The following is a 14,976-nucleotide window of genomic DNA, read 5'->3' as shown; positions in this document are numbered from 1 at the left end:
AATGGTCATTCAACTCTTCTTTGAGAAATCTCTAAACTGCTTTCCACAGTGGCTAAACTAATTTACATTCCACCAATATATTCACATTGAGTATAAGTGTTCCCTTTTCTCCACAGCCCTGCCAACATCTGTCATTTTTTGACTTTTGAACAAAAGCAGAAAGGCTGTGATTTTTAAAGTGGAGCTGGGAAGTGGTCTGTCTGTCCAGATAGAGACTGCTGGTCTCTGCTAGTACAGCTTGAAGATCAGCAAGCATGCCACCTGGGGCATTGCACCACCATAAAACCTGTTTCTTTCCAGGCAGGAGTCCACCTAAGGCAGCATTGCCACAGCTGTAATAGGAAGTCTGAAAGGTGAGGTGAGGTGTTCCAGGGGAGACCGAGTAAGAAGCTCTGTATTTGTGTGCATTTGGAGCAGGTAGTCCAGGCCAAAGGCCCCAACGCAGTGAGTCATATGAGGCTGTACAACTGGAAAGCTGCCAGCTGGGCACACCCATTAGGATACATGTTCCTGCAGTGGCTTAGCAGAACTTTCCTATTAATATTTATTTAAATACCAACTCTACAGTTTCTGGACATAACTTTATATACCATCTTTCTGAAACTGTTTTTATGCCAAAACGAGTCCTTTAGAAAGTCCATTTATCTGAATTACTTTTTATTCTTCAAACTTATACAGCCACAAATGCTTCTTCTGTTAGGAAGAATTGACTGTTTTGTTAACATTTAGCTTCATGTGGGTTTTACATTAAATTCTTAAAATCCAAGGCTATAAAATTCTGAGAGAATAAACGTATCTTAATAGAAACTTTGCAAATGCGCCACTTTATTAGTGATGGAAATGGTTATGAAAATCTGCTGCTTTTCATAGATAGTGCCAGTTACAGATAGAGAAATATTGTGGTAATCAGCATTTGATCAAGCTCTGGGTTCTGTGAAACTGATTCTTAATGCAAATTTTATCTCGAAAACTTTAGTCTGCTCTCCTAAAATAGCAATAGCCATTTTGAGCCATGGACTAAAATGCTTATGGTCCCAAGGATCCTAATATCATAGTTTGTAGGGAAGTCAGAATATGATGCTTCAACTTGCCAAAGCTGTTTCTTCTTAATCACCTCCAAAAAAGTTAAATTATTAACTGTGCAATTCATTCCAAATTGCATGTCACCATTCTCTCTTTATTTTTAATTTCAAAAAAACTATTCTGATCACTTTATTTTCTTGAATAGAGCACATGGAAAACAAATGTTTAGATAATAAGGTGTTGGTCTTATTTTAAATTTTGCTTAATTGGAACTTTAAAAATCAATGTGAAGGCTGGATCTTAAAGGCAAGCTTAAAAAGACAGTCACAGCCGGGTGCAGTGGCACATGCCTGTAGTCCCAGCTACTCATGAGGATTGCTTAAGCCCAGGAGTTTAAGTCCAGCTGGGGCAATGTAGCAAGACCCTGTCTCTCTCTCAAAAAAAAAAAGAAGCAGCAGCAGCCGGTCTCAAAGGGTTGTATACCACATGATTGATTATATAACTAACCCCAAGTGACAAAATAATAGTATGGAAAACAGATCAGAGGTTGCCTGGGACCAGCACTGGGAGAACGGTGTGATTCTCAAGGAAGAATACTGGGGGTTTCTTTGTAGTGTCAGAAGAGTTCTGTACCCTGACTGTGGTGTTGGTTATTCGAATCTGCATGTGTGATAAAACTTCAGAAAACTATAGACCAAGAAAAAAAAAAAAGAAGAAAAAGTGTAAGTAACACTGGAATATGAATAAGGACTGTATCTGAGGTAATAATAATGAACAACATCAATTTCCTGGTTTTGACAATGTGCTCTGGGGATATGTAATAATACTGGGGGAAGTGAAGGGTACATGATAATTCTCTGTACTATTTTTCCAATTTCTTGTGAGAAACTATTTCAAACATAAAGATCAATTTTATGTTTATTATTTTAACAAATGAATGGAAAGAAGTAATTAGGTATATGAATTTTTTTTTTTAAAGAAAATTTTAAATGCCAGAATGTGAGTTCTTGGACTACTTGTATAAGGAAGTAACACCAAATGCTTTGGGAAAAAAGGAAGGTTGACAATAATCCATAACAATTTTCTGGTCACAGTTTCCTCAATAATATTTCCTTTCAGTGTTAGTTTCTTCTCTCCCTCCCATTGGTCCAGTTTCCATCACTCTCTTCTGCTCCTTTTTAATATATGAAAGTTCTTCGCTTCTCTCTCCCTTTTTCACTGCCTTCTCTTCCTTGTGCCTAATGTAATCTCTCTCTTTTATCCTCACAAAACCCAAATCCAGGTCAGCAAATTCCATTTATAGTCATAAATCTGGTCTCTGCTCTGTGTGCACTCATACGTATTTCTGAAGAGAGGATGGGGTGTTGGAAGAATCTGACTAGCAGAGGTAGGTGGGGAGAGCAGAGCAGAGAAGTTCTCTTTATTTATACTTTAGTACTGAGGGCAAGAGTCTCAGCATTTAAATGTCTGAATTATTCCTTTGCATGGCAAGAATGTGTCTAGATTTTTAAAAGCAACAAACATAACTACATATAAATAAAGGCACCTCCAGTTTGGTAGTGTTTTCAATAACACTCGCCTTGGTCAAAATGTTGACAATATAAGGGGGCACTCAAAATTGCTAATTTTCTCATTCCAATGCAAGATCTCCTTACTACAGGGTTAAAGTAGGTTTTCCCAAAGCTGTTTCAGGGTTGATGCTTATTTGAATCTTTAGATCAGTATCATACCAAATCTGAAGACAATTATTCCTAATTGATTTTTATTCTATACTTAGGAAAAAAATGTGAAAGCAAAAGGAGGTTTCTGTTCAAGATTTAAAAATGATTCTGCATTGGCAATTACATAAATGAACTTTGGAGACTCTTGGGAATTGCTTGCTAAATTCAATTTTCTTTATAGTTTGGGCCACTCTAAACTCTTCTCCAAAGCCTTTAGAAGTTTTAAGGTCAAGAGACGACCAGAATAAGAACTGCAATTGCAGCTACATGGAGTGTCTGTGTGGAATAGAGAACATGACTTCTTTTATTACATATGACACAAGAAACAAATATCAAAGTGGACCCTGGTATCTATGGGTATTTAATGCAATGTAGCAGATGAATCACAAAGTTAACATTTATGAGACATTAATCGGGCCATTTCTAATGTCATTCCTTGCATGCATGCCTTCTCTGCCTTTCATTCATTTTGAAATAAAGAAAAAAATTGCCTTGGTTTTAGTGAACCTTAGAAAAATAAGTGTAAAAAAACATCTCTGGATGTGGTTTCTTGTTGATTTAGGATTCTGATAGCTTCATCATTCCTTTCTTGGTGTGTCTCTCCAGATATCTCAAAGTTATCTTAAATGATCTTAAATATGTTAAATATCCCAAATGATAATCTGGGAACCCCTAGAATGTAGACTCCTCAAAGGCAGGGATTTTGTCTGTGATCACTGCCATCCCAGTTCTAGAACAGTGTCTGGCACAAGTGCTCAATAGCCTTTGATTGAGTTGGGTTGGTAACTGGATGTTGGGAAAATAACTTTGTCTCTGGAGTCAGACTGACCTAGGTCAGAGTCCTGGCTCTGTGACTCAGTGACCTGGGACAAAGTATATCACTTCCCAGAGCTTCAGTTTTCTGATATGCCAGGTGCCATTGGACCTCAGCAGAGAGAGTATGCACAAAGCACTGAGCATGGAGCTTGGGAGGTACCAGATGCTTAGTCAGTGACCATTCCCTTATGAATTCACAGCCATCCTACCCTTTTTCTGCTAGAATTATCTATTTTCCTGAATGCAACTGATTCAAAGTAAAGCATTTTCAGAGAAAGCTATCATGATTTCTAAGAAGAGTATCTAGGATCAGAATTCCCAGAAACAGAATGAACTTCTCCCTGTATTTCTTAGCTTTACAAGCCCTAAATCAGCTAATCTCATCTCCATAGGATCTACACCAGCATAAACATGGAAAACACCATTTTTTAGATTTCTGTCAACCTGAACATTCAGTATTTTCAGGCAGAAGAGTTGAGTTGAGTTGTGTTTTTATTTGTTCTATTTTATTTTCCACTTGTCAAGTAGATTAAGATTAATATGTAGCTCTATTTCGTTTGGAAAGCGGAGCTTTATTTCTCATATAAGGTTGCATCTTACAGGGTGGCCATTCTGACAAGCTAGAAACAGGCTCTTTGAGGGAGGAGCAAAGGGAACAGGAATTTATGCTGAAAGGGGTGGCGAAACATACATATTCAATAAACTATAGCAGGAGTCATGAATATTTATGAAAGGAGAAATATGCACATGCCCCAGTAAACTTCATGCCCCTTCATGGGTACCATGTTCAAAAAATAGTGGAGTTAGCATGATCCCAGGGAGGAGTTTTCAGCCCTCTGAGGTCAAAAGTTGAAGCAGAGGACATGAAAACCCTTACTGCGCATCCTCCATGGTCTCTTATCAGGAAGGAATGCTGGCCGGTTATTTTGTAGAAACCACAGAAGGGAGAGGTCGCATCAGGTGGTTGATACTAGGGGTGGAGTGAGTCTTTCCAAAGGGCTGGTTTCTGTTTAACCCTTAGGAAAAGGTGAGGGAGGGGTTATAATGAGGTTTCTCCAACCTCCCATCCCGTCATGGCTGGGAACTCAGTTTTTGAGTTTCTCTGGGGTCCCTTGGCAAAGAAGAGGTCTGTTCTGTTGCTTGGTGGGCTTAGGATTTCATTTCTATTTCTCATTTTCTTCCTTTTGCCTGAGATTTCCCAGAGGCAGTATTGATGGCCAAATTTTTATTTTGTCCCATTTCATTGCCAGGGGGGTGTGGCCCTCTTTAATGTCTAGGATGACCTAGGGGTCCAAAAATGCAGACCTTTCTTCTCTTTTTGACATTTCATGCCTGATATATTACATTCATCTAATAAATGATTTCCAAGCATTCTAGTCTTTGAGGTTAATTATGTGTTCTCACTATCACTCAGTTGTATACCTTACATGTCTCATTTATTTTATTAACTAATGTTGTAATCAGTTACTGACTGCCTACTTTGTGTCTTTGCATTTTAGTTCTGTGGGAAATAAGGAAGGATAAGAAACAAGTTGAGGGGTTGGACTCTATTCTCAAGGAGAAAAGAAATACAACGAAAATTTAAAATATTTACTGTATTATATATGTTTATAAAATGGCTTGCATAAATAAAGGTGCTAAATAAGTGGTTTTAATAATTACTAGGTCTGTAGTTAAATGGAAGAGACAAATCTTGTAAACATTACACCCCTAGGAAAAATTATTAGAGGATATAGGTATATGCATAACACTATGGTAGAGACTGTATTTCTATATTGTTTTGAAGTGTTAGAATTACCATAAATAGGCTGATCATAGGCCATCCAGCAAAAAGGAAGTTACCAGCAAGGGCCAAAAGAAACTAATGAATATAAAAAGCTGGTGCCCTCTCAGGAAGGCCCAGAGATTAAAATCACCATGTCCATGGAGTGTGGAAAACTCCATTCTGATATGGGCCAGCCATACTGTCCAAGGGGACGGATCCAAGGGGCGGGAAGGTGAGGCTAGTTCCCTGCAAGGTTAGTAACAGAATCTTAGGGAAGTCTTTCTGTGTATAAGGAGTATCATGGTGAGGGTGATGTTGGCTATAAGACATGCTGGGAAATGGAAGAAAGAAGGGCAGGATTGAAGTGGTTGAGGTTGAAGCAACGGGAAATTAGTTGGGACAAAAGGGTTGAGCCCTTCTAGGGCTAGAAACCCAAATCACCAGGTCTAAGAAAGTATAGCAAACTTTAATCTAGTGTTTCTCTAAATATCAAAAAGTTCTAGCGATCATCTTGGACATTTGCTAAAAATACACGGCCAGGGCCGGGCGCGGTGGCTCACGCCTGTAATCCCAGCACTTTGGGAGGCCGAGGCGGGCGGATCACGAGGTCAGGAGATCGAGACCATCCCGGCTAAAACGGTGAAACCCTGTCTCTACTAAAAATACAAAAAATTAGCCGGGCGTAGTGGCGGGCGCCTGTAGTCCCAGCTACTTGGGAGGCTGAGGCAGGAGAATGGCGTGAACCCGGGAGGCGGAGCTTGGAGTGAGCCGAGATCCCGCCACTGCACTCCAGCCTGGGCGACAGAGCGAGACTCCGTCTCAAAAAAAAAAAAAAAAAAAAAAAAAAATACACGGCCAGGCCCTGCCCCATGTCTCTCACAGCAGGATCTTTAGGAGAGAGCTTAGGATTCTGTATTTTTAATGAGTGCTCCTGATGAGCTTTTATGACTAGAGAAATTTGGAAAACATTGCTTTAGTCCAACCCAATCTGGCATCAGGATTCAAACTCTCTCTCAGAGGGTAGGGCAAGACTGGGAAGCAAGGACTTTTTGGATTCAGAAGGGTGTGTAGATGGTATATCTGGAAGGCGTCCTGGAAGCAAGATATAGCCTGGAGAAACAGGGCTATCATATTCTGGATGTGGGAATTAGGGCTCCAGTGAACTGAAACTATTTTAGGCAGGGCTCTAGTGCTTGTGGGAGACCAGAGAAGATCCTGGGAAATACAGCATCAGTCAAGAATTCAGCCACAGAGATGGGAGGGGTGATAACCGCCTCCAGCCCTCTCAGGGCAAACAGAATATTTAGGCTTGTGTGGTGTCCCTGTCTTGATGGGCTGGGTTAGGCTGTACCCTTATGGGTAAAAACTGAGTGGTACCTCTCTATTGAGAAAGATGTTGTTACTGGATGGCAGCCATTAGAGCAAATGAAAGGTCCTCTGGACACCAGAATTCACCAAGGAGGCTAGACAGGCCATGAGGAAACTCCAGCTTCTTTCAAAGCTTCGGTCCATTTGGTTCAGATGTGAAAGGATTTGGGTGTCCTTGAAGCTTCACCCTCTTAAGTCCAGCAGGGTCATAGTGGGGGTGATCATGTGCTAGATATCCCTAAGGAGAAGGATAATCTTGGAGGGCCAGATTGTGCTAGGAAGCCCAGGAGACCGTCCCATAATGCAGCCTTAGTCTCCCGCGGTCTTGGAGGATGCCCTGGCCATGTTCATTACTCTCAGGTGAGGCTAGAGCGGGCAGGTGGAGGTGCATGTGAGATGGAAGGGAATGATTAGTGGGTTCTGTTGGACCAAGAGTACGGATTGATAGATTAGGAAGTAATGCATTTTGACTTTGATCATGAAATGAACAAGAGAAATTACAGCCACTTTTAAAGAACTAAAATGATAGGCTGGACAATAATAAATGCTGGCAAGGATGTGGAGAAATGGGAATCCTTGTACACTGCTACTGGAAAAGTAAATTAGTACAACCACTATGGAGAACAGTTTGGAGCTTCCTCAGAAAACTAAAAATAGAGCTACAATATAATCCAGCAATCCCACTGCTAGGACCCCAAAGAAAGGAAATCTGTATATTGAAGAGATAGCTGCACTCCCATGTTTACTGCAGCACTATTCACAATAGCTAAGATGTGGAAGCAACCTAAATTTCCACCAACGGATGAATAGATAAAGAAAATGTGGTACATATACACAATGGAGTACTATTCAGCCATAAAAAAATGAGATCCAGTCATTTGCAACAACATGGATGGAGCTGGAGGTCATTATGTTAAGTGAAATAAGTCAGACACATAAGTACAAACTACACTTGTTCTTACTTATTTGTGGGGTCTAAAAATGCAAACAACTGAACGTATGAAGACAGAGAATAGAAGCGTGGTTACCAGAAGCTTGGAAACATGGAGGTTAAGTGGGGACATTTAATGCGGCCAAAAAGTAGTTACAAAGAATGAATAAGATCTAGTATTTGCTAGCACAAGAGGGTGAGTATAGTCAAAAATAATTTAATTGGACATTTAAAAATAATTAAAGGAGCATTATTGGATTGTTTGTAACACAAAGGACAAATGCTTGAGATAATGGACACCCCATTACCCTGATGTGATTATTATGCATTGCATGCCTGTGTCAAAATATCTCATGTTAAATATATACACCTACTCTGTACTGACAAACATTCAAAAAATGTTTTAAAATTAAAAAAAGAGTCTGGAGAATGATTCTAAATTCTGATAAATTTGTTTTCCTCTCTCAACAGGAATCTCCCATTATTTTCCTCTTGGCCCAGAGAAAAGATAGCCTTTCTGGTTCACTTTTCCTTATGCCAATACTACAGGTTATATTGTTATATTTTGTACTTTTCAGTTTCTTTTTCAGAATCAATAAATATTTGAGTACAAATTTGTTTTGATGAATTGGAAGGCCTGGCTGTCTTCACCTTTCAGAATCCTCTCTGCCAGTCACACTACTACCTACTGATTATAATCATGTCAAAAATCACCTCTTCCATGAAACCTCTCCTGGCTCATCCATCGATAGGTGATTTTTCCATCCTTCAAACCCCATACATTGCACCTTTGTTTGTAAGTTCTTTATGGCCCTCCCATTTTATTTTCTTCCTTTTCTCTTCAACAACATTTAATTTATAACCCTCCCTGTTCCATAAAGGAAATCTATAGAAGAAAATACAATATAAATGAGAAAATGCAAATGTAAGAAAAATAAATATAGGAATATAAGATGAAGCCAAGTGTTACAAATATTTATTGAACACTAGTCATGTCCCACATGATAGACAGTGCCTGCTCTCCTGGAATACAGACCCGACCCAGGGCAAAGCTGTGGCTTTTGGACGAGGAAACATTCAGAGACCAGCTTCAAACCTTCACCAGAGTTTTAGTGTTAATAATTCAGTCCTGACTTACCCATACTCTCATGAAATCACCTACTCCTTACTATTGTGTGTCTGTAGAAATCAGGCAACAGTGTAATCTTGATGGTGCTAGTATTTTTCATCAAAGGACCTTCTTTCCCACTCCATCGATATCTTGCTAGCTCTTCTCTGAGTCTTTTTCAAGTTCTCAAGTCTTCAATGCCAAGACTGTAAAGCCATTCATATAATTATGCTGGGGAGACTGGATATCCCTCAATTTTTTTCAAGGAACTTCTATTCTAGCTTGTGTGTACTTAGTACATTATATTAACGTCTAATAAAATGAACTACTGGCAGGCTTTTCATTAGGTTATAGCTGCTTCTGCAAAAGAAACCTCATTTATATGTTGTTTCCTCTACATTGGCTAAATGGCAGCAAATAAGATAAGGATATGATTATCATTTTTCAAATGTTGTGAGAGCACTCCATGGCACCAACATCGTCATCTACGGCTCCAGGGCAAACTATGCATGGACCATTCTGACTGTACAAATATAAGGAAACGTAGATTGTTACCATGGCAACAAGAAAAGCTACAGATTTCCTCCAAATCACTACCTAATTTGTATATTTTAAGCAAAATTATTGTAGAGGAAAGTCCCTTCTAGGCCATTTTTAAAGCCAATCATTTGCATTAGGAAAGTTAGAAAAATTATATCATCTCAGATGTAACTAGTAATTAGAATATTTTTCTCACAGGACTTATTTCTTCAAGAATGCTGAATTTTTGCTGCTGTATTTTCAAAATTCAACTAAGTTGCTCATTTAAAATCATGGGTTTAAGTACTCCTCCATGAATTAGAGTTTTACTCTCAGGAAGCTCCAAGAAATGTTAATTTCCTGGAGTCTGTTTTTCCCATTATATGATAAAATCAGATACCAGGCACCCAATACTTTAACATAGAAAGAGAATATTGGACTCTCTTTCCAAAAAGAGCCAGGTATCTGCATTTATGTATATCAGTATTCTCATCATCATGTCTGGGCTTTTGCTCGGAGCAAGGTTGCATCCGGTATAATGTGGGGCAGAGGCCGGGTGCAGTGGCTTATGCCTGTAATCCCGGCACTTTAGGAGGCCAAGGCGGGCTAATCACCTGAGGTCAGGAGTTTGAGACCAGCCTGGCCAACATGGCGAAACCCTGTCCCTACTAAAAATACAAAAATTAGCCAGGCACGGTGGCGCACACCTGTAGTCCCAGCTACTCGGGAGGCTGAGGCAGGAGAATCGTTTGAACCCGGGAGGCGGAGGTTGCAGTGAGTCGAGATCACGCCACTTCACTCCAGCCTGGGTGACAGAGCAAGACTCCATCTCAAAATATAAAAAAATAATATGGGGCAGAAAGTTTCGAGACCAAGGTGTATAGGGTCAGTGTGAACAGCAGCATGCTGAGGTCAGCCTGCAATCCAAGGGGCAAGCAGGATCCAACCTGAGAGGTCACCTGGGTAATGGTTGGAGCCAACTGGGTGACACCAAAAGCCAAACTAAAGCCAGGAATCTGGGAGCAAATGCTAGGGGGACCCAAATAAATTTGCACAAGGTAAATCTCTTGCTTCAGGCAGATGTTTCATCCTTACCTGTGTTTCTCAAGCTGTTTTGACCACAACTCATAGTATGAAATATATTTTATATCATAGCCTGATGCACACTCCTGTGTCAGAGTTTCAGAAAGATACTTGCCCTTACCATGCGTCTGTCACTCTCATGTTTTCAATTCTCTTAGGTTCAATTCTATTTCATTTAGAGATGTTAGTAGGAGACTTACTAAACTGATTTCATGATCCGCTAATTGATAGAAATATATAGCTCAAAATAAACTGTCTTGGAGAGTTGGGAGATGGGATGCAGAGAGTACAAAAACAAACAAAACACAACTGGAGGACATGGTTTCCGATCTCAAGGCTTTGAAAGCTCCTTAGGAAGTTAGAATGTGACATGAAACAACAAAATAACACATTTGGAATAAAGAAATCGAAACAAGCAGGTTCACAAGCAAATTAATATTAATACTGGAAGCATTGACTCCAGATGTGAAAGGTTAAGTTAGAGTCAATGATTAGAGGTTTCCTAGAATAACACGTGTAAAGCCAGCTTTGGGGTAACTTCTCTGGATAAAGCATCCAGAGAAGTAAATAGCACAGATAGTGTAACAACATGCTTCAGCAGATAAGCCTAAATTGTGTTTCTGGGTTGGAGAGGAGAGTGTGTGTAACATAGAGGGATGAAGAAATTAACTTAGATGAGATGAGGTAGGTGGAAGCTTTCAATACTTTAGGATCAGCCTCCAAAAAACATTAGAAGAAAACTACCCTTATCTATATAATTAACACAGTGTAATTGTGTTTAAGGATTATTCTGGTGACTGCTAAGAGAGGATGCATTGCCTTGGGAGGCCGAGGCAGGTGGATCATGAAGTCAGGAGATCGAGACCAGCCTGGCCAACATGGTGAAACCCCATTTCTACTAAAAACACAAAAATTAGCGGGCGTGGTGGCACACACCTGTAATCCCAGCTACTTGGGAGGCTGAGGCAGGAGAATTGCTTGAACCCGGGAGGCGGAGGTTGCAGTGAGCTGAGATTGTGCCACTGCACTCCAGCCTGGGCGACAGAGCGAGACTCCATCTCAAAAAAAAAAAAAAAAAAAAGAGGATGCATTGCCATCAGATTTATTGGAAACAGGGAATATTGTTGTTGTAATCTAGAGAGAAAGAAAAATCTGATCTATGTCACAGGAATGAAAATACAAGAAGGGAAGGATCCAGGAGACCTGAGGATGCACTTGGGACCTGTAGATAAGTTTCATGACCTATCTTCCTGGCATAAGCCTCCAAAGCTGAGTGTAACTTGAGTGGTAATTAAGGCACTGGCTGCCCACAGTTGTATCCTTGTTGCCCTGCCAGGGCACTATCTTTCCCCCAGCTTGACCTGGAATTACCAGTATTCATCATTGCTGGGTTAAACCACAAAGACAAAACTCCTTCAAAAGTCTTTGGACCCGGTAGGCTGGGACAGTAACCTTTCATCAGCCCCGCTTCTATCTCTGAAAAGCTATGTATGAATTTAAGAAAAAGCTAACTCTTTGGAAAAATTGGACCTGGACCTTCCAAGCTAATGAAAGAACAGAGATTCTTCATGTGGATGGGAATGGCTGGACCTCAGAGCCCTGCCTTCTCTTTCTAGAGGTTATCTTTCCCATGGGGAGCTCACTAATTGCCCTGCTCCTCTGTTATACTGGGGTCACCCCTCACTTCTCCACTTCCCTGCCTAGGGCTTGGTTTCATTAGAGAAATGTGACAACAGGTTTAGCTACAAACGCCCATTAACATCAAGCGTCAGAATCTCAGGCGTGCACAACAGCTGGCACCGGTGAAAGCTCAGCCCTCTCTTGGCACTGTGCCTATTCCGCCCATGCTATTAACTGCCTTGATCAAAGTTGTCTCTATATTGATCTCTCCCCCTTGTTAACTCATGAGACCCCTGATAGATAGAGCTAGCATCTTATTCCTTTACGCATCACCTTAGTGCTTAACACATAGTACCTTGCACTGATGTTTGCACATAAATTAACAGCATAATTATAATATGAGGCATGATGGTTGTATTCCAGGTGTCTCTACAAGGCTGAAGTTAAAATTCATATCTTTTATTTAAGAGACTAACCCTAAATTATTTTCCATGGCAATTTACTAGAGATTAGTTTATCAAATTAGTTATTTGGCCTTGAATTCACTGTGAGGACATAGATGGTGAATATTAAGGGGGAGACCACAAGAAGGGGCTGAGGAGCCTCAGAGACACTCAGAGAAAGGAAATATACATATAAAAACAGAAGTGGAGCACTGCAATCAAATGTCATCTATTTCACAATCCTACCTCAAATTACTCTGCCTATACCACTGCACATTTGCTTAAATGATATCATGTAATGGTCTCCCCCAACTTTTTAAGTAGTGTGTTTCCTCAATATCTCCAGGTGGAGCACAAATAGAATATATTGTTCCTTTTCAAGGCTAGCACTATGGGCTATGACCCTCTCCACCCCAAATCTACAATGTTGGCACATAGAAGATGCTCAAGAAGTACTTGTGAGTGGATAAATACGTACACTTCACAGTGAGGGACTGTCTCTGCCTTGCTCATTTTATCTTAGGCCTAGTGCGTAATAATCTCAATGAGTGTTTTGTATGAATAAATAGACATTTTTTCAATGCATCTTGAATCCCCCATTTTCTTTCAGGGCTGGAACAAACATTATCTCTGATAATTTAAACTCAGATTTCCTTGTATTAATCACATCTGTAAGTATGTAATAGAAGCATTAACTTTTTCAGTTAAAATTCTGGTAGAGAGCTACAACCAAAGATTACATATCTTCTATAATGCCTTCATATTTATGATCATCTCTAGAACTAGGAGCTAGTTGAACCTGACCATAGATTACCCATTGACATATTCGATGATTCAATAGTATAACTAATCAGGAGTAATTTCAACTCCTCTTTGGAATTTTGAATTAAATAATCTTTACATGTCAATATAGAAGATGATGCGTTAAAGAAATCCAAGTTTCTTTGGTAGTCAGTTATTCAGTCTTTTTTTCAGGGCCATTGTCTGGTAATTACTCAGATGAATTATGAGAAAATATCTGTACATTCCTGGGTAATGACAGATTCTTCCAACCTAAAAAATTTCCACACTGGTCTTCCACCAACAGGAACTGTTGATGTACCTGGGAGAAGTTTAGAAAGTAAGAACATTTCTGTGAAATGATGCTACACAAATATTGAAATTGATTTCTGAGTTGGAATCTACCAATAGTGGGCCTGTTATCTGTCTCATATTTATTTTTATTAATTACATAAAATAATTTCAATGTACCATAAAAATCAGGAAAAAGCTTAAAATATGTATTGCCTTTTTCGTTAAATATCCTCCTATGAGTCCATTTTAAGAAATGCCTAGTATTTCATCTAATAAATGGATCATAATATGAATAATTTTAAAATAAAAATCTGTAACAACAAAATATGTACTCTTCTGAAAGCATCCACAGTCTCTCCCAAGACATCATTCTCAGCTTCTAGAAAAACAACGCTAAACACAAAGAAACCTCAGCTCCAGGTAAGATAAATGGAATAAATTTGGTGTCTCATTGAACATCTGGCTCTTAGGTTCTTTACTATCTAAAATATTGAGGATTGTTGCTCAAAGGAGTACAGAGTAATGAGATAGAAAGATCCTTTTGATAAAAATGATCACCAAGGGAGCACTCAAAGTTCCTGTGTTCATTTAAGTCTTGGATGGTCCCTAGATGTCTAACTGATAATTACTCTTCCAGGAAGTTTGTAGGATGCAAAAGTCACTCCTTCCTTGTAATATAAGGTAGCTGAACAAACTAGACAAGATAAATGGCAAAACTTTGTAAGATCTTCCTTGATTATCTTAATAATGTTCTTGATTAAACTTAATTTATATCCACAATCATTTATTAAGCAGCTACTCTTTCCTGGGATTGGGGACATAAACATGAGTAAGACCCTGTACTGTAAGGAAGAGAGCTTTTAACCTCCATTGGCAAAGTTAATCATTATCTGTAAATACTTAACAATATACATTATTTCCAAATAAGATTTGATTTTTTAACATAATTCATTATTTCACATATCTATGGCACAAATGGCCTGGCTTGCTTCTTGTAGGGTATCATACTTCTTCCGTCTTGAGGCCCTGTCCCTGGACCTCTGGGCTTCTTCCATATTGGCATGTCCTTAGTAACAAATTGACAGAAGGAAATGTTTAATAACTACAGACAGATAGTTGTATTTGATATCCATATTGATAGTTGTCAGCATGGCACCATTCCTCAATGGGTCACAAAAAAACCATGATCTTTTAGACAAGGGTCTCACCATTATATATCCCTCCACTGATGGATGTCCTATTAGCTGTTCTTAAGGTGGATAGTTTTCTGCTCAAAGAGAGTTTCTGTTCTCTTTTTTTTTTTTTTTTTTTTTTTGAGACGGATTCTCACTCTGTCACCCAGGCTGGAGTGCAGTGGCACAATCTCAGCTCACTGCAAGCTCCACCTCCCAGGTTCATGCCATTCTCCTGCCTCAGCCTCCCGAGTAGCTGGGAATACAGGCACCCGCCACCACACCTGGCTAATTTTTTGTATTTTTTTTTTTAGTAGAGACGGGGTTTCACCG

General features: G+C 39.5%; 4 annotated features.

Annotated features, from left to right (window-relative positions):
• Positions 256 to 621: a transcriptional cis regulatory region, noted in NCBI's record as "candidate enhancer chr4.1628 targeted for multiplex CRISPR interference". NCBI's record gives its function as "positively regulates NMU gene expression with high confidence in K562 cells {active_cell/tissue: K562}" and the evidence as "EXISTENCE:mutant phenotype evidence [ECO:0000015][PMID:30612741]".
• Positions 3,555 to 4,018: a transcriptional cis regulatory region, noted in NCBI's record as "candidate enhancer chr4.1627 targeted for multiplex CRISPR interference". NCBI's record gives its function as "positively regulates expression of the NMU and SRD5A3 genes with high confidence and the PDCL2 gene with lower confidence in K562 cells {active_cell/tissue: K562}" and the evidence as "EXISTENCE:mutant phenotype evidence [ECO:0000015][PMID:30612741]".
• Positions 4,069 to 4,795: a transcriptional cis regulatory region, noted in NCBI's record as "candidate enhancer chr4.1626 targeted for multiplex CRISPR interference". NCBI's record gives its function as "positively regulates NMU gene expression with high confidence in K562 cells {active_cell/tissue: K562}" and the evidence as "EXISTENCE:mutant phenotype evidence [ECO:0000015][PMID:30612741]".
• Positions 10,814 to 10,973: a transcriptional cis regulatory region, noted in NCBI's record as "candidate enhancer chr4.1625 targeted for multiplex CRISPR interference". NCBI's record gives its function as "positively regulates NMU gene expression with high confidence in K562 cells {active_cell/tissue: K562}" and the evidence as "EXISTENCE:mutant phenotype evidence [ECO:0000015][PMID:30612741]".

Source organism: Homo sapiens, chromosome 4, assembly GCF_000001405.40.
Source record: "Homo sapiens chromosome 4, GRCh38.p14 Primary Assembly".
NCBI classification, from domain to species: Eukaryota; Metazoa; Chordata; class Mammalia; order Primates; family Hominidae; genus Homo; species Homo sapiens.
Note: the sequence above shows the minus strand (reverse complement) of the source record. Positions and strands in the feature narration are given on the sequence as shown.